General features: G+C 50.5%; 1 long non-coding RNA gene across 1 annotated transcript, besides 6 other annotated features; it reads right to left on the reverse strand.

The window, feature by feature from the left end:
• Window positions 474-1404: an enhancer, noted in NCBI's record as "H3K27ac-H3K4me1 hESC enhancer chr8:102120910-102121840 (GRCh37/hg19 assembly coordinates)". NCBI's record gives its function as "activates a minimal SCP1, AML or CMV promoter by ChIP-STARR-seq in primed H9 embryonic stem cells {active_cell/tissue: H9 hESC(primed)}" and the evidence as "EXISTENCE:reporter gene assay evidence [ECO:0000049][PMID:30033119]".
• Window positions 1405-2333: an enhancer, noted in NCBI's record as "H3K27ac-H3K4me1 hESC enhancer chr8:102121841-102122769 (GRCh37/hg19 assembly coordinates)". NCBI's record gives its function as "activates a minimal SCP1, AML or CMV promoter by ChIP-STARR-seq in primed H9 embryonic stem cells {active_cell/tissue: H9 hESC(primed)}" and the evidence as "EXISTENCE:reporter gene assay evidence [ECO:0000049][PMID:30033119]".
• On the reverse strand, window positions 12224-18411 carry LINC03044 (long intergenic non-protein coding RNA 3044). Its single transcript, NR_187481.1, has 3 exons — window positions 17769-18411; window positions 16772-16949; window positions 12224-14313 (listed from the first exon to the last, which is right to left on the reverse strand). It is a non-coding gene; the product is annotated as a long intergenic non-protein coding RNA 3044 (long non-coding RNA).
• Window positions 18037-18559: an enhancer, noted in NCBI's record as "H3K27ac-H3K4me1 hESC enhancer chr8:102138473-102138995 (GRCh37/hg19 assembly coordinates)". NCBI's record gives its function as "activates a minimal SCP1, AML or CMV promoter by ChIP-STARR-seq in primed H9 embryonic stem cells {active_cell/tissue: H9 hESC(primed)}" and the evidence as "EXISTENCE:reporter gene assay evidence [ECO:0000049][PMID:30033119]".
• Window positions 18309-18518: a silencer, noted in NCBI's record as "silent region_19430". NCBI's record gives its function as "represses an Ori minimal core promoter by ATAC-STARR-seq in GM12878 lymphoblastoid cells {active_cell/tissue: GM12878}" and the evidence as "EXISTENCE:reporter gene assay evidence [ECO:0000049][PMID:35858748]".
• Window positions 18560-19083: an enhancer, noted in NCBI's record as "H3K27ac-H3K4me1 hESC enhancer chr8:102138996-102139519 (GRCh37/hg19 assembly coordinates)". NCBI's record gives its function as "activates a minimal SCP1, AML or CMV promoter by ChIP-STARR-seq in primed H9 embryonic stem cells {active_cell/tissue: H9 hESC(primed)}" and the evidence as "EXISTENCE:reporter gene assay evidence [ECO:0000049][PMID:30033119]".
• Window positions 18749-18808: an enhancer, noted in NCBI's record as "active region_27726". NCBI's record gives its function as "activates an Ori minimal core promoter by ATAC-STARR-seq in GM12878 lymphoblastoid cells {active_cell/tissue: GM12878}" and the evidence as "EXISTENCE:reporter gene assay evidence [ECO:0000049][PMID:35858748]".

Raw genomic sequence — 19110 nt, forward strand, 5'->3', positions numbered from 1 at the left:
ACTTTTGTCCTCATTGAGTTTCTACACCCTGCTTGGTACCAGCTGTCAAATTGAGAGGTCCCAACCCTTCAATCACCTTTCAGCCGCTAACTCAAGAAGTGTTTACTATGCATTCCATGATGCTCAACACTGACTCAGCTCCTAGAGACAGCAAAATACCAGAAATAATCCCTGCCTTCAAGGAACTTAAAATCCAGTTAAGAGAGGAGGCCACGGGCAAAACAAAACAATAGCAACAACCAAACAAACATTGCTGAGCAAAGCAAGACAGAACTGTCTGCAGAATTGAGTGCAGCTGTGGCGTGGAGGCTGATGTGCTGTTTGCATCTGAACAGGGGAGACCTGGGATGGTGGGAATGGCCTGATCAAGCTTCAGGGAGGAGGCTAAGCTTGGCCAGTGTGCTCAGAGGCCATGTCCTATTTAAAATGATCTTTCTGGAGTCCCCTGACTCAGCACCCCACACTACTGCAAAATTAGCCACACCCTTTCTGGGCTACCGCTGGAGTTTGAATATGCTTCTGATATTGCATGACAACTTGTAACTGTTCACTTACTCCACTAACCACAAGATGCACCAGCTTGCTGGCTGTGTATTTTGGCAGCCCCAGCCCCCAACTCAGCCCAAGGGCTCATGAATGTAAACCGAATGAAAGAGTGAATATTGTTTAATGCAGAGAGGAAGATGACGTCTACGGCATAGCATGTGACACCGGAAGTGGGTCCTTCCTGCCCTGCTCTGGCCTTCCTTTCCCACCCCGCTGGGTTTGCATCTGCAGGTGGGAGCGATGTGGGAAGGCTTGTGGAGGAGCAGCTCAGAAAACAGACAGGACAGGGAGTCCTTCCTAAAGGTCATCGGGAGGAGAAGCCGAGGTCCCGCTGGGTCTGGTACATGCGAGACCCCCAGGGTATTCGCAGACCCCCCCCCCCCCTCCGCCCAGGTCCTGGAGGGTCTGTCACATCCGCCACGTGAAAGCACAACAGGTTGACTGTTCTCTCCTGATTGCTCCAAACCGCAGAGCAGCCTAGGGGCGGAGGGAGACCTTCAGCCGGGCGGAGCTCTGTGTGCGGCCAGCACTGGCTGGCTCCCAGTTCTGGGGGTCTCGGGTCACCTGAGTGCAACCCGTGAGAAGAGACAAGACCACCCAGAAGATATGGCCAAGCACACCCCCGCTGAGGCTGTGCGCGGCTGTGCCCCGGGCAAAGCTGGCTCGCTTCCTAGTGGTCCGCCCTGCCAGTTATTTCATGGCAGCCTCTTCATTTGTAAAAGGGCCTTAATAATAGCTAATCACGGGTCGTCCACGAGGCCAGGCTGAGATGATGCAGGAGTGCAGCCAACACGGTGCCTGGCACGCGATGCCGCTGTCGGTGGCTAAGTGGCCATTGCTGATGCTGCTGTCACTGTTGTCCCATCCCCCTCACAGTACTACTGGCTCTCACATGTAGGGGACGCAGAGCAGAGCAGCGTCCTGAGCACCACAGGAGTTCTAACCATGACTTGCATTTTTTATAATTCTGTTTTTCTCTTGACCCAATTAAAAAAAAAAAAAAAAGGAGACTTTTAGTCTGTTTTCTCTTGGGCCTGGAGGCTGTGCTAGTTTGCCCGGCTGCAGGTGGAATGTGTTAACCAGAGAGTGTGCAGGGGGGCCCTCTGGGCAGCTGCGAAAGGCCATGCTCTGCCAAGATCAGGGTGCAAGCCAGCGTCCTGAGGGGGCAGGGTGGAGGGAGGGAGGGGCTCAGCATGGGCAGCCCCTTTCCCCCATGCAGCCTCGGGGGCCCTTCCTGACCACCCCCTGGCTGTCCTGAAGCCACCTGAGACATTTTTAGAACATGTCCAGTTGGGTGGCTCGCAGACCCACCTCCCCCTAGGATTCTGAGTCCCTTGGCCTGGGATGCAGCCCAGTCATTGGTATTTTTGATTGTGATGTGCCACCAGGGTTGAGGTGCTCTGGCCTAAGGGGACTCGGGTGTCGAGTTAACCCCTTCTTGTAAAGTGCTCCTTGGCCAGGTCACTCTGCACGTGGGAGGTGCTGCACTCAGTCAGGTGGCTCGGGTGTGCTCCTGGCTTTGCCACTCCAGGCTGTGTGTGACCATGCAGGTCATCTGGCATGTATGAACCTTAGTTTCTTTATCTATGAAATGGAGAAGATAACAGTCCCTCTCTGACAGCACTGTAATGAGAGCTAAATGAGGCCAGGTGCGGTGGCTCACGCCTGTAATCCCAGCACTCTGGGAGGCCGAGGCGGGTGGATCACCTGAGGTCAGGAGTTTGACACCAGCCTGGCCAGCATGGTGAAACCCCTTCTCTACTAAAAATACAAAAATTAGCTGGGCATGGTGGTGGGCGCCTGTAATCCCAGCTACTTGGAAGGCTGAGGCAGGAGAATTGCTTGAACCTGGGAGGTGGAGGTTGCAGTGAGTCGAGATTGTGCTACTGCACTCCATCCTGGGTGACAGAGTGAAACTGTGTCTCAAAAAAAAAAGAAAAAAAAAAAGAATTAAATGAGATGAGGCATTGTATTAAGGTTCTCCAGAGAAACAGAACCAACAGCATGTATATATATTATAGACAAGGGGTGGGGGAGAAATGTATTATAAGGAATTGGTTCATGCTATTATGAAAACTGACAAGTCCCAAGATCTGGAGTTGGCAAGCTGGAGACCCAGGAAAACTGATGTTTTAATTCCAGCTCCAGTATGAAGGCCTAAGACCCAGGAGGGTCTTGAAGGTGTGAGCTCCCAGCTAAAGGCCAGAAAAGATGATGCCACAGCTCAAAGCAATAAAGGAGGAAAAGTTCCTTCCTACTCAAGGGAGGGTGAACCCTTTTGTTCTATTCAGGCCTTCACCTGATTGGATGAGGCCCACCCATATTAGTGAACACGATTTGCTGTGCCCCGTCTACCAATTCAAATGTGAATCTCATCCAGAAACACCCTCACAGACACACCCAGAACAATGTTTGGTCAACTATCTGGGTATCCTGTGGCTCAGTGAAGTTGACACATAAAATTAACCATCACAGACATGTGAAGTGGTTAGCACAATACTTGACAGATAATTACTGTTAATTGCTATTATTAATAATTATTATCACTTGAAGACAGCACTCTAATTTCCTGCCTGATCTTGCAAGTGGAGAAAGCCCTAGGATCATTCAAGGCACTTGTCTAATGGATTCTGCAAATTATCATACAAATAGTACCACCCTGGATATTTCTTTTCTCTCCCCTTTATTCAGTCCTCCCAGGCAGGCCTTTTTAAACCTCAGTGGACAAAAGTGGTGACAGCAATTTTGCCCCATCATATACTGTTTCCAAAGCATGTTCTAGGAGTTTATCTCATTTAACACTGGCCTCTGCCTTCACAAACATTCCTCAGCTACTTCTCAGCCTGTGTGACAAACTGAGCCATGTCCCTGGGCACAACCAAGTTAGACAAGCCAGAAAGGCAGACAAGTTGGGTGCCAGCTCTTGCCTTATGAGATATAAATCTCAGCCACATGTGAATGTGCTGTACAATCACTCTTGTACCTGAGCAGTAATTGGGCTTTAAAAAGCAACTCTCATTTCTTCTCGGAGAAGAATGCAGTGCCTTGGCTACCACCTGCCTCCTGCCCCAACCCGGAGGCTGAAACTGTCATGTGGCTGTGGACCTGTGCTCACCAGCGCTCTTCCAGACACCTGCCCCTGCAAAGGAAGGGATGGGGCTGAGGAGCCTGGGTTCCAAGAGATACCTGGAAACAGGGCACATGGAGGCTCCAGGTGTGGGCATGCAGGGGTGATGACAGCAGCCGGGGAAACCCAGAGCTACTCCCTGCCTAAGGCTGCATCTCTTCCCTAGGGCCACTTTTCCCTGGATGTCTCTACCTGGTGAGCAGCCAGATCCTAACAGCAGGGTGCTGACTGGACAGCTCTCCCTGGGTTCTGGAGAGATGGTCACAAAGGGACACACGTGATGGGGTGGGAACCAGGAACAGTCAGAGGTCATTTCTTAAGGAAGCGAACTATGACCTGTCAGAATAAGGCTGTTTAGGCCTTGACTAGGTGGAGGGAAGTGCAACAGAGCAAGTTCCTGAGTGCAAGTGTCTTGAGACAAGAAGAGGCCCTTGAAGAACTGAAGGAAGTACTTTCCTTCTGGCTGGCACAGGTGAGCAGCAGCAGGAGCGGAGGCCAGGAGGTCGATGGGGTGACTGTGTGGGTTTTCAAGCTCTGGTAGGGGGCCCTTTGCTCCTGAGACCATGGTAAGCCACCAAGGGCCCTGGCAGCAGGAGAGGCTGTGACCAGATGTTTTATGCTTATGATTCTTTATTCTTTCCAATAAAAGCTGCCCCTCTTAACACCCAGCACCACAGGCCAGCATGCACTGAGCACTCATCTGTGCCAGGCAGTGTGCTAAGTACTCCACTTGCATCAGTCCCTGATTCCACGGGGCTCTGCCGCATGTCCAGGAAGGTGCCAGGGCCCCATTTTGTCCTGGTCCTTTCCGGTCTCCTCCCGCTCCTGTGCAAGGAAGCGAGGGGCGATTTTTAGTTCCCCAGATGTTAGGGTGGGTGAGACAGACGCACCCCCTTATGGTCTCTCATCTAACAGACTTAGAATCCAGGATTTTCAGACCCAGAGGACCCCTGACATTCACCCTAAACAAGCTCTCACCTGCTGCCTGGACCCACCTCTCTAAAGCCACTATGGGGGCTGGAGACCAATAGAAAGCATCCCCCTGGATTCAGTGCTTAGACGCAGTGGCCACAAGAGACGCCCTAATCCTCCTGCCCTCAATGGCAGATTGGATTCTTCCCCTCGTGGGGACTGAGGCTGCCTGGACAGCTGACCCCAAGGACGCAGGTGTCTAAATAAGATGGTAGGGGGGACTCAGCCAAGGATGTGCAAACTCATCAGTTAGTCAAATTGCCCCCTGACTCAGGGGGCAGTGAGTGAGGTGTGAGGAGAGGGTCATGAGCTACTCCTCCCTTGCTTCACAGAGTGTAGAAGCACCTACTTCCAAGTCAGGTGGGAAGGCTGGAAGAGCTGGTGAAGGGTGTCCCCTAACAACTAACAATTATTGAGAAATTACACAGCACTTGGCACTTGATAGACACAGGCCTTATCCTAATGATGATCCACCCTACAGATGAGGACACTGAGGCTCAGAGTGGGCCTCTAGTCCCAGTCACATGCCTCTTAAGTGGCAGAGCTGGGGTTTGAAACTAGAGTCGTCTGCGTTCCAGAGCCTCTGCTGTATGTGACAATATCATCCCTTCCAGAGATGCAGAGTGGCCTGGAATTCTCTAGGGAGAAGAAACTCGAGCAGAAGTATTGCTTCTATGATTTAGAGTCGTCTGGTTTCACAGATGACTAGCAGCCTGCCCCAAGTGGCTAAATACATGCCAACAATGGACTGCTGAGATAGCGCTGCGTGGTAATGTAATGGGTGCTCAGAGCATCCTCTGTTCTGTTCACACCCAACTGCAAATTCGTCCTAGCCACCCCCAAGTCCTACTGAGGCTGACAGGCAAGGCTTGCCAGTACCAACTTACAGGCAGGGCCCTAAATGGCGAGTGGTCACAAAAATGGCTTGAATAATTTTTTGACTTTCAAAATTATTGAGCATTCCTAATCTGAACATTGAAAATCCAAAATGCAAAACTTTTTGAGCGCCGACATGATGCTCAGAGGAAATTCTCATGGGAGCATTTCAAATTTCAGATTTTCCAATTAGGGCTGCTCAACCAGTAAGTATAATGCAAATACTCCCCAATCTGAAATCTGAAACATGTCTGATTGCAAGCATTTTGCATAAGGGATATTCAACCTGTATGACCCTGAAGTGGGTCATGTAAAGTAGTGAGCTGCATGTCATTTGGAAGTATCCAACAGATGATGGATGTTACCAGGGACGTGACAGAGGACCTTCCTGTGTATTCAGGTGGGGCAGACTAGATAGCATCTATGGTCTGCACAAAACAAACATAGGAACTGGCATATGTGTGTGTGTCTATGTGTGCCTATGTGTGTGTTGGACTAGGGGAAGGCTGAGGATCTGGGAGGGTCTTCAGCGCCCTTCCCTAACTTCAACTGTTAACGATTCTGCTTTATTTTATTTTATACCGGAGGTCTGATGCCAAAAGCCGCCTGAAAATCGCGGGTAGAGGGGAATGATGAGTTACTGAGGAATTCTAAGCAGAAAAATAACATGGTACGGTTTGCATTTAGAAATGTCCCTCTGCATGGTGGGGTGGAGAGTGGATGGGAGGGAAGCAAGAATGGAGGTGGTGAGGGCAACTGGGAGGCGACTGCAGCACCCACAGCAGCCAGAACTAAGGCAGTGGCGAGGAGAAGGGGCAGAGTTGACGGTTGTTTTGTAGGTGAAATCTGGGGGACTTGGTAGTTCCTGGTACATGCCGGATGAGGAGAAGGAGGCATCCTGCTAAGCCATAGGTGCTTGTCAGGAGGACGGTGGTGTGAGTCGCTGAGCTGGAGGACACAGGCAGGAGCAGTTTCTAAGGGAAAGGGGTGAGCTGAGGATTGGGCCTGTGTGTATGAGGCTCTGTGGGACACTCCCAGTCAAGACAGCAAACTGGCAGCTGCATTTTCAAGTCCAGATGTCAACAGAGAACTCTCGGATCTAGACATAAATTTGGGTTTTCAATATATAAATGGCACTGAAACATGTATGAACGGAAGAGGTCACCAGGGAGGGACAGTATAGCTAGAAAAGGGCAAAGCACCCAGGAATGAGCCCTGAGAAACCCCAGCATTAGGAGGGGGCTGGCAAAAGAAGCCACAAAGTGAGTATGTGTGAGCAGACCACTGGAGCAAAGGGGCTAAAGCCCAGGCAAAAGGAATGCTTGGTGAGATTCAGATTTGTGGGACATCAGCATCTAGGATAAGACGAAAACGAAGGGAGTGGACGGGAGTGAGAAGAACAGTGGACCCCAGAAACATCAATGTGTCAGGAGAGCAGGAAGAAGAGACCTAGAAACAGATGGTGAAGGATCAGCCAGAGAAGTCTGAGGAGGATAAGGACAGAGTACAGTCTCAGAAACTGGATCCATTAAGATATTTTGACTGCATATAATGGGATAGCTGACTAAAATTGGTTTATCTAATAGGAACATCTATTCTTCTGTAAGACATCTAGAAGGAGGCAATTCCAGGGCTGGGTCAGTTCTTTATAAGCCAGGCTTCACTTGGGATTTTTCTCGTGTTTGCAAGATGGCTGCAGCAGCACCCAACAGCACACTTTGACCAATAATGTGGCTTTCTCCTTGCGTCCCTCCTTCCCCTTTATCAGGAAAGAAAATATTTCCCAGAAGTTCTCTAAGGTAGACTCTCCCTTATATCTCATTACCCTGTCCTACTGCAAGGAGGCTGGGAAAGTGAATAATATTTCAGCCTCTGTAGTAGAAACTGAGCTCCCACTGACAGAAGGTAGGAAAAAGGCTGGCATTACGAGGGCAACTAACAGGACCTGTATTCAGAGCCCTTAGAGCAGAGAGGCTCCAGAAGGAAGGAGTGGTAAACAGCTCCACTAGGGCAGCAGGGGTCAGTGACATGAACACAAGTGATCTAATAATATGGGGTGGAGGGAATGTTTGCTAAAGCAGTTCCAGGAGATTGGAGAAGACATGGAAACTGAATTACAAGTGAATTGATGAATGGCTGGGGATAATGAAGTAGAATAGACAGTGTAGACCAATGGTTCTCAATGGTGGGAGATTTTGTCCTACAGGGGACATTTGGCAAGATCTGGAGACATTTTTGGTTGGTTGTCATAACTGGAAGTTGCCAACAACTATAGCAACTGGGTCGGGGGGACTATAACATCTTAACATCTGTCATCATTGGGGAATGATCACAACTGTCACTACTGGCATCTAGAGTCTTTTGGTCTTCTTCTAAATGGAAAGGGATGCATCTCCTCTGGGTAGAGGCCAGAAATGCTGCTAAACATCCTACAGTGCCCAGGACAGCCCCCACAGCAAAGAATCATCTGGTGCAAAGTGTCAGTAGTGCTGAGGTTGACAAACCCTGGTGCAGACTATCCTTTCAACAGGTTAGGCTGAATAGGAAAGCAGAGTAGGCAGGGAAGGCCAGACAGGTAACAGGGCATGTTCATGGGCGGGAAGGGGCTAGGGATGCTGGCGGATCATGGGTGAATGGGACCCTGGACAGCCAGGAGCAGGTGAGCTGACAGCTGCATTGAGGAGAGGCCTTGAACAGGAAGAGAATTCCTGTGGCACTGGGATGGAAGGAGAGAAGACAAGAGTGGGGAGTGTTTATATGCGTGGGGCTGAAACGTGCTCCGGGAACTCAATCATCTGGAAGAAGAGGAGGCAAGGCCGACTCACCAAGTGTCAGAGGAGATAGCAAAGGAGGGAGGAAACAGTGGGGAAGTGTGTCAAGGGGAATGAAGAGAGGGCAGGCCATGCATGGGAAAGAGGTGTGGAGCAAGTAGAGGGCTGAGGCTGGAGGCTGGAGTCTGTGCTGGTCACAGTCCTCATGGCCGCATGATTTTCTCAGAACTGCTCAGCATCCGGGGCCCAGTAAGGGGATGGTGCATCATGGGACTGCTGGGTAGGTCAGTGGCTGAGTGTGCAACCTGGAAAGGAGCTGAGAGAAGTGATGGGAAAATGGTTCAGGTGCTCAGCCCTGTGGCCTGGGCCCTTGGTAAGTCATTTAAACTCTCAAGACTTCACTTTCCTCATCTGAAAAGGGCTTAATGATACCATTTCTCTCTCTACCTAATGGGGTGGTCACAAGGTTCAAATGAGAGTTTTTGAGAGGAGTAAACTATGACCCCCTCCTTAAAGGCTAGTTATTATTATTAGTCCTTGGGAGAGTGAATGACCAGGACCTTCATGATCATTTTCATTAAGCACCTGTTGCCTCCGACCTCCTTCTCAGCTTCCATATGCTCAGAATGAAGAGTTTCTGTCCTAGTGTGGCAGATGGACAAACGGCATTATGCCGGGATACACAGCAAGTCTGCAAATCTTCACTCTGCACCTTCGGAGCACTGGCTGCACGAGGAGTTCTCCGACTGCCCCATCCTTGTCCCCAGGGGCCAGGCTTCTTTTTACCTCTTGTCCAAGTTTCTTGTGCACAACCCTTTGATGAGCACTTGCAGGAGAGAAGCTGTCTTCATTGCCACCTGCTGTGGAACTTAATTAGAGCTCAACCAAAGCCAAAGAGACCCATGGAATGATCAGAGAGAGAAGAGTGAGAAAAGGGGGTGGGGAGTGAAGAGAAGCTAGAGTGCCAAGAGTTGAAGCCAGAAAAAGAGGAGGACACTGGCAGAGGTGACTGTTTGGCAGAGGTGGCTGCTTAGCAGAGGTGGCTGCTTAGCAGGGCTCCTTCCAGCTGGCTTTATCATAGATGCTCTCAATCTCTCAGACTTGACTGAGTCCCGGTGACAGGCAGTGGGAACCCAGGCCAAGGCAGTGGCAAGAGAAGGGATGAAGACAACCAGGAAAGACACTGGGAGAAGAAGCTATTGCCCTTGGAGTATCATGACTGGAGTGTCCAGGAGACCAGAAATAGGGTCACCAGTGCAAGCATCACTTTAAGAAGGGGGCTCAGACTGGTGATCATTACTGACTTGAGTTTTTTGCCTATAATTTGTTTAATAACAATAGCAGCTACCATTTATTGACCATCTATCCTGTGCCAGATGCATTAACTACAATAGCTTATTTAACCATAAGCCATCAGGTAGGGACCAGCATTTCCCTGGCAGATGGGGCCACTGGAGCTCGGGGAGGCCGCATGACTCACCCCAGGCCCGAAAGCCAGTGAGAGACACACCCAGCTCAGAGGCTTCACAGTCTGTGTTCCTGTCCCTGTGCCACATCATTAATATAACTAGCAGGGTTCTCTGCAGAAACACCCAACTCCTTGTTTCTCCCTCCTCGGGTATTAGCTTAAGTTCTTCCCAGAGCTTGGGCCTCCCCTAGACATTCCGGGGGCCACAGAGCATGGCCAATAATTGCTATCACCCCAATTTCTTAGGAGCATTTTTGAAGAGAATAGCACATTAGTTAAAACTGAATGTGCATTTCAATAGTGCATTCACAGGCCCTGAAACTGTTAATAGAGGAAATACTTTTGAACAGAGAACTTTCATGTCATTCTCTCTACAAGCCGTTCATTCCTTTCTTCATATATTCATGTATTATTTACTTATTCAGTACAGTATAATGGCTAATAATTTGGGTTCTGGAGCCAGGCTGCCTGGATTCAATTCCCCATTTATGAGCTTTTTGAAGCTAATCTTTCTGTGTGTCAGTTTCTCTATCTGAAAAATGGGAGTAACACCTCCTAGGGTTGAGGTGAGGATTAAGTGGATTAGTTTACTTAAAACACTCAGAACAGTGCTTGGCCCCAGTAAATGCTAACATGTGCCAGGAGATAGCAAGTCCTATGGGGGACAGTTCCCGCCCTGGAGATGCTCACAGTTCAAGGAGGGAGTCAGGGACGCTCTATCCACTCCACCTACCAGCCAGGACAAGGACAGGACGAGGCCAGATCTGCTCGGCTTCTCCAGGGACTTTTCTTTCCCAGGTAGGTGCCACAGCCTTGGAGCTGGAGCCCAGAGGGGCAGAGCCCTGCTTTTACAGCTGGGCAGCCTGTACCTATTCTGCCCTGGGGAGTCGGCTCCAGTCCCCAAGCCTGAAGGCCTGTTTGAGGCCATGCAGCAGTATGCATTCCTCTGACTAGATTTTTCTCCCCTGAACCCAGAAACACCTGCCTGGTTGAGGTAGGAGAGGCTTTTAGGATGCTGAGGTTTGGCCCTAACAAGGGCTCATCTCCCCAGGGAGGCTGGCTGATGATCAAGTCCTGGCACTAGCAGTGCTGACCCCAGGCACCTCACAGCACAAGACACAGCCCAAGAAGAAAAGTCTCAGCCGTAAGTAGGGCATTGGCCTGGGCTTTGTCGTTCGCTAAAGACATCCGCTGCCCCCAGTGCTTTGTGCCTTTAGATCTGGCTGTTGCCCCATTGAGGCGACAGCCTGTGATCTCCTCCTTTTGCTGGAGCTCGAACAGAACAAGGCTGGAGTCTCATTTGTCTGTCTGAGACTTTTAGAACCAGGCAGCTTGAAAAAATGAAGGGATAAAAGAAGCCGGCCAGCAATTAGGTAATGCCAGCCTGCCTGCCAGGCTCCCCGCATGGAGCTACCCTGGAGTTCACTGGGGAGAGCAGACATGTGGATTCTGGGGCTGGAGGGGTCCCAGCATGCACTAGGGGGGCAGCCAGGGTGTGTTGGGGTGGAGGGATTCTAGGAAGTGGCCAGTGACCTAACTCTCCGAGCCCCACCTGTACAATGGGGTGGAAAATGACAATCACACCAGGGGGTATGAGGCCTTCACCCGATCCTACTGTGATCACAGGTGACATGACAGGTGGTCAGTGATGCACGGCCCCTTCCCTGTCTAGTGTGCCTCCAGGGCAGCTTGTGCGCAGAGCAGCTCTGACTCCCCTCCTCCTGCGCTGTGAGTTGGGGAGCCCTCTCTCCACGGCTCTCTGGGCTACAGAGAGCCCCTCTCCTGGCAGCAGTGTCCTCTGGAAATGACAAATGTTCCTCCCCCACAGCTGCTTCCTCCCTCTTAGCTTCCCTGTCAGGTTCTCTGTTGTGGACAAACAAAATACCTTGCTTATTCATCTCTGAATTTTCTCCTAGGCTGGTCCTCCTATCAAAAAGCATCTTCACTGGCAGGCGCAGTGGCTCATGTTTGTAATCCCAGCAGTTTGGGAGGCCTAGGCAGGAGGATTGCTTGAGCCCAGGAATTTGAGACCAGCCTGGGCAACACAGTGAGACCTCTATTAAAAAAAAATTAGTCAGGTATGTGGTGGCATGCGCCTGTGATCCCAGTTACTCAGGAGGCTGAGGTGGGAGGATTGGCTGAACCCAGGAGGTCGAGGCTGCAGTGAGCTGTGATGGTGCCACTGCACTCCAGCCTGGGTGATAGAGGGAGACCCTGTCTCAAAAAAAAAAAAAAAAAAAAAAAAACTTTACCAAAGGCCTAGCCCTTCCCTCCTGCAAAGTTCAACTCAACACACTCCCCATCAGATGTGCCTTGGGGGCTGACACAGCCTCAGGTCTGTTCTTCAAATATCTGCATCCCTTCTCTGCAACCACATATTATTTGAGTGTTTTGGGGTTTTGTTGTTGTTGTTGTTGTTTGTTCGTTTGTTTGTCTCACGCCCAGGAACTCTCTGGTCCCGAGTTTAAGTTTTGGCTTCACAATTTACTGATTGACTGTGGGCAAGTCACTTAACCCCTATAAACCTCAATTCCCTCATCAAAAAATAATTTATAGAAATGTTTCCCCCGTATGTTGTCTCAGCAGCTCTTCAGGATAGTCCTATAACCTAGCAATAGTGACAAAGTCCTGCTTTACAAATGAAGTGACAGAGGCTTTGAGAAGTTATGTTGCTGCTCTGGAACACATGGCTAGTGACAGCACCTTGAGGTGAGTCCAAACTTCCCTTTCTATTGGGTCAAGGGAGAGTCCTTTTTCATTTTGCTTCTCAAAACTGTTGTGAAGATCGAAGGACATCTTCATCTGTTTACTCGACAAACATTTATTGAGACCACGGTGTGCCAACCTCGTCTCTTGGAGCAAAGGGTTCCATCAGCTGTAAGGATCTGGGCAGACGTGAGCCGAGGGTCAGGGCACCATGCCCCAAGCAGGGAGCCTATAGGTCCTGGCAGAGTGACCCAGGCTGTAGCACAGCACCTAGCACAGGGTGGCTGCAGCCTCAGCCCAGCGATGAGCAGTCCTCTTCCCTCTTTCCAGGCCTCCCTTCCTAGGCCCCTCACACTTCATCCTTACAACCACCCTGTTTGGGAGACATCATTAGCCCCATCTTACAGATGAAGAGAATATGGATCCCGGAGGGCAACGGTCACCTGGGAACTTTAAAAGCCCAGTGCTTAGGCTGAATCTCAGACAGTTAAGTGAGGCACTGGGGGTGGGGAGAAGGGGTGGGCCCAGGCACTAGTAGTCCTTCTACAGCTGTCCACCCAGTTCCAAGTGCAGCCCGAGACGAGAGTACTGGCATAGTGGCCGGGCATCTGCAGGGACTTCTGACAAACGCGGTGGATGAGTCCAGAAGCTGAGCAGTCAGCTTGCAAATTGTCCAGGTCCTTCGATTTCTCTTTCTTGAAGGCAGTGTTGGGGAGGCAGTGGTGTGGGGGAGGCAGTGTGTTTGGGGTGGTTCTGGAGCTCCCCTCTCGCCCGCCTCTAGCCTTTTCTAGCTGGGTGACCTTGGGCAAGTTGCCTTACCAATCCCAGCCTGTGCGTCTCGTGGGTTTACTGGTGGCATTTGAGTAACTATCAGAGGCTTCATAAGTATTGGTTGCTCTCTTCTGGTTTTTTTTTTTTTTTTTTTTTTTTGAGATGGAGTCTCGCTCTGTCACCAAGGCTGGAGTGCAGTGGCATGATCTCAGCTCACTGCAAACTCCACCTCTCGGGTTCAAGAGATTCTCCTGCCTCAGCCTCCCAAGTAGCTATCATGCCTGGCTAATTTTTGTATTTTTTTAGTAGAGATGGGTTTCACCATGTTGGCCAGGTTGTTCTCAAACTCCTGACCTCAGGTGATCCGCCTGGGCCTCCCCAAATGCTGGGATTACAGGCGTGAGCCACCGCGCCTGGCCGGTTGCCTTTCTTCTTTCCCCACTTCTGCTGCCCAAGTTTGGGACAATTCTGTTTATTCACACCTGCTCCAAAGGAAGTGAAATCCAGCTCATTTCTCCTTCTTATTGGTAGTATTGCCCAAGGGCTGGAGGGACCATGGGAATGGGCAGGGAGGAGCTTTGAGATGTGAGTGGAGTCCTGCTATCCACAATATGCAGCCTCCAGGACTGGCTGGTTCTTTTCCAAGTGTGGTCCAAGTCTGGGTGTGGAGAGTGAAATGAAGTAGAGACAGTCTGCTCTGGGCCATAAGTGCTTGCTAAGTGCTGGGGCTTCTTTAGTGGGGTGAGGGCAGTGGTCATCTTTCTCTGTCCTTGGAAGTAAGTTTGAGAAGCAAGAATTAAGGGCTGCCTAGAGGGTCGGCTGGCCAAAACGCAGCCAGATATAGCAACTTCACCCCCAGAGGCAGGGTTACTCCAGGGTGAATCTTAGCACAGAGCCTGGTGCACGGTGGAAGGTCTGCCAATGCCTGCCTTGAAGGAGTATTCTATGTGCTTTTCTTCCCTTTTTTCCCCAGCTCTTTGTGCAGGATTTCTTCCCAAGTCTGTTAGAGGCATCCTCATTGTCTCAAGAAGTTCACGGTTTTATAGGTCTTTGATTATTGTCTTAGTGAGCTTAATCTGCCATAACAAAATATTATAAACATCAGGAAAGGAATTTATTTTTTCATGGATCTGGAGGCTAGAAAATCCAAAATCAAGATCAAGATGCCAGCAGGGTCAGAGTCTGGCAAGAGCTCTCTCCTTGGGTTGCAGATGGCTTCCTTCTCTGAGAGAGAGAATAGAAAGAAGAGAGACAGGAGACAGGAGAGGAAAAGGAAAGGAGAGGAGAGGAGGGGAGGGGAGGGGAAGGCAGGGGAGGGGAAAGAAGGGGAGGGGACAGAGAGAGAGAAAGAGTGCCCAATCTCTGTGATCTATTCTGATAAAGGCACTAATCCCATCATGAGGGCCCCACCCTCATGACCTCACCTACTCCTAACTACCTCCCAAAGACCCCATCTCCAAACACTATCACACCGAGGTTAGAACTCAAACATGAATTTGGAGGGAGTAAGGGCCACAATTCACTCCATAGCAAGAATCAAAAGGGAAGGCTTGAGGGATGCATGGTATGGAGTTGTTTTTTTTTTTTTTTTTTTTTTTAATCATAACAGTAGACTAGAATAGACTAGAAAGACAAGAGACAAGAACGAAACTTCACTGCCCTCCCCACCTCCCCACCCCACTACTGCTGCTGCCTCCACAAATATTCCAGCCCCAAAGACAAGGAGGGTTACCTGGAGGGGTGGAGTGGGGTTGGGTGGGGAGGAGACAGTTTGGAGAAGGTTAGAGACAAGAGACCAGAGTAGAAGGTGGAGGGGAGGACAGGAGAGGGGAGAGAGATGGGGCAAGGAGGAACAAGTCTGTGTGAGAAGAGTTGCCACACACGTGGGCCAGTGTCAGGCTCCCAGCCAGATACCAGGCCAGTGTGGAGACTAAACCCACGTCCTCCCGGAGGAGCCAATGCTTGCAAACCATTCCCCTGCCTCCAGGGGGCGCTGCTTAGCCCCAGGCTGGGGAGCCACATTGAATTAATTGAAGTAAAGCGTTTACACTAGTTCATGGCACTTCCCCGGCCCTGAACGTGCCTCTGTGCAAGGCTGCCTGCGTGTACCCTGTGGATCAGATACTTGCTTGCACCCAAGGCTTTTCCTAAGCCCCTCTGAACTGTCCCATATAAACACTAATTTTCAAGGGCTAGGAAAGCCATAAACTCCCTCAAAAATAAATAGGGCTGGAGGCAGTGGTTCATGCCTATAATCCCAGTACTTTGGGAGGTCAAGGTGAGTGGATTGCTTGAGCCCAGGAGTTCAAGGCCTGTCTGGGCAACATGGCAAAACCTCTTCTCTACATTTTTTTTTTTAATTAGCTGCATGGTGGTGCATGCCTGTAGTCTGAGCTACTTGGGAGGCTGAGGTAGGAGGATGGCTTGAGCCTGGGAGGCAGAGGTTGTAGTGCGCCGAGATCACACCACTGCACTCCAGCATGGGCGACAGAGTGATACCCTGTCTCAAAAAAGTAAAATTACATTAAATTAATAAATAGAAGAAAGCCTTTGCACCCAAAGGCAGAGTGCTAACAGGAAGGAAAAATCCCAGCCTTACTGCTCTGAGGGGTCAGGAGAGTAGGGAGCCCACCTCACTTGTTATATAACATTAATACATGTGATTATATAACATCAGCAGCACAGTGTAGCAGTTAGGTACCCAGGCCTTGGAGCCAGACTGCCACCGCATAGGTTGTGGCTTTGTCCCTTCCTAGCAGTGTGATCTTGGGTTTCTGAATATCTCTATGCCTCTGGCCGGGCATGGTGGCTCATGCCTCTAATCCCAGCACTTTGGGAGGCTGAGGCGGGCAGATCACGAGGTCAGGAATTCAAGACCAGCCTGTCCAACATAGTGAAACCCCATCTCTATTAAACATACAAAAACTAGCCGGGCGTGGTGGTGCACACCTGTAATCCCAGCTACTCGGGAGGCTGAGGCAGGAGAATCACTTGAACCCAGGAGGCGGAGGTTGCAGTGAGCCGAGATCACGCCACCGCCCTCCAGCCTGGGCAAAAAAGTGAGACTCCGTCTTGGAAAACAAACAAACAAAACACACACACACACACACACACACACACACACACACACACACACACATATATATACACACATATATGTGTATATATATACCCACGTATATATATACACATATATGTGTATATATATACCCACGTATATATACACATACACACACACATATACACACATATATGTACACACATATATATACACACGTGTGTGTGTATATATATGTGTGTATGTGTGTGTGTGTGTGAATGTATATATATATATATATATATATATATATATATATATATATATATGCTTCCGTTTCCTCCCCTGAGAGCTGGAGATGAAAATAATCATTCCCATCTCATGAGGTGATAGCAAAAATTAAATGAACGAATTCAAGTAAAGTGTTTAGCTCATAGCACACATAGTTATTGCTCAAAAGAATGTTAGCCATTCTGAGCGTCCATGGGGGTACTCACGACTCATGCCTGACAGCCAATCAGGAGAGAGGAGGCGTGGTCAAGGGCGAGTGGCTCGCCGGGAGCAGGCCTGGACCGAGATGGGGCAACCTTGGTACCTGCGCTGCAGTTTCCTCCTTTGTAAAGTGCGAATTACGTAAAATAACACTTGCAAATCTCTTCATATAATATCCAACACCTAGTAAGTATAAGACAAATATTTACGTTTACATTTTTTCAGACAGGAGAACTGAGGCACAGAGGTTACAAACTTGTCCAAGTTCACACAGCACAGGAAGTATAAATGCTGAGATTTGAGCTAAGGCAGTCTGCCCCCAGAGACATCTGTGCCTGCACTTCAAGCGCATTGTTGAAAATGTAATTTATTTTTTGTTAACTTTTTTCCTTGTGGGCTGTTAACAGGATAAGATGACATTTGCCAAGCAAAGGGATAAATCTGTCTTAAATCTAATTTTCAGTGTATTTTTTTCTCTATCCTCTGTTGATAGACTAGCAGCCTTTAAACTAGAGATTATGTAAAAATCCATTCGAGTTGGCATCCATCTAGACGTAATAGACCCTTCTGGGTGTTCATGTCTATTAGTGACTGATAGGCTTAAGTTACAACGTATCCAGATCCACATACCATAACAACATCCCTATACAATCAAAAGGTAGAAGAGTGTCAGCTGATGCTGCTTATTTCGGGTGGTACTGGATAACACAAAAGTACAAAGGAAGAGTTTAGAAGCTCCTAGGGGACTGCTGTAGAGGTTTGGCCTGTGCTTAGAAACACAGACTTGGGGGACTGGTGACTCTGGGTTGACTCCCACCTTTGCCAACTGCTAGCTGTGTCTTCTTGGGCAAATTCCTCAACTTACTGTCATTCAGTGGTACCCATATGTGGTTAACACTTCTGTGTTCATGCGATCTTCTACAAAATCAAAGTGAAGTGTACCAACCTCCTGCTGAAAAAAACCCCAGGGGCACTTATTAAATGTAGGTTTCATGGCTTTACCCAGTTCTGCTGAATCTCATCCTCTGGGAACAGCACTGCAGAATCTGCATTTCTGACAAGGCTTCCAGATGACTCCAGGTCAGCCGACTCAGCCTGAACCCCCGTACCTCAGGCAGGTATGGGACTGGGGCAGCAGAGGAACTTTTTGGGCCATGCTGCTACAGGTCTGTCTTGGAGCTTTGCCTCAAGCCCCTGGACGGGTGATTAGAGCAATGAGCCCTTTGGGGGCGGCATCCTCAGGGCTGGCGGCTGCAAGCTGGCTTTCTGCGTGAGTGCTCTGGGTGACCATCGTGACGGACCTGCACTGGGTGAGGGCGGCCTGACTCCCCCCTTCCCTAAAGGGCTTTGTAGAATAGAAGCCACCTTCCCCTGGCTTTTGTCCCTGCCACCGCATCGGACTCGCCAGCTTCAGGAAGGGGCCTCATCCTTCCGGGCGGGGCCGTATGGCCGCCCTCGGGCTCTGCAGCCGTGACTCAGCTCGGGAAGGTTGGCGCTCAGGCCTGGAGCCCGGGGCTGTGCGGGCACCAAACAAAGCAGCGCTCGCACGCGCCCTCCCAGGGCCGCGCCACACCTGCGGGGCCGCCTTGCTCGTTTCCCTCCAGGAGCCGCGCTGGCTGTTGCGGGGCAGGCTGGGCCCGCTGCTGCTGCAGTTGGCTCCGCGGCCGCCCCTAGCCGCCCCCAGCCGCCCCCGCCCGGTGAGTCACCCGCTCCCGGCCGCGCCGCCGCCCGGCCCGCTCTCACGCCTCCGAGCCTGCGCGCACCGCTCGCCGAGCCAGGTTCCCTCGGCAAGGGGCGCTCGATACGGGCGGGGATCCCCAGAGGCCGCGGCCTTCCTTGGCTGCCAGACAGACAGCGTTCCCAAGGAGGAAACCCCTGCCCCTCCGTCCCGTCGCGCGCACGGGCGGAAAGGACACCCAAACTGTCACCGTCCTGTCACTGTGTCTCCCCGCCTCCCTGATGCTGGTCACACCCTCCTGCGCTGGCTCTGTCTCGGGAGGGGGTGGCAAGTCGCTGGTGGCCACCTCCCCCCACTGCCTTCAGGATTTCCCCTTCTCGGGCTGCCTAACGCTTCTCAGAGGTGGCTGTCCATTAGAATCATTGGGAGCTGTAAAAATTCCTGATGCCCAGACCAATGAACTCAGAGCCACGGGGGTGGAGCCCGGGCACCACTTGCATTTTGTGAAGTTCCCCAGGTGACTCCACTGTTCAGCCAGAGTGGCGAACTACGGACCCAGACCTAGGCTTCCCAAACTCTGATGGGTTTGAAATCCCCTGGGATCTTGTTAAAATGCAGGCCTCCATTCAGTAGGTCTAGGGAGGGGCCTGAGAGTGCGTATTTCTA

Source organism: Homo sapiens, chromosome 8 (genome assembly GCF_000001405.40).
Source record: "Homo sapiens chromosome 8, GRCh38.p14 Primary Assembly".
NCBI lineage: Eukaryota > Metazoa > Chordata > Mammalia > Primates > Hominidae > Homo > Homo sapiens.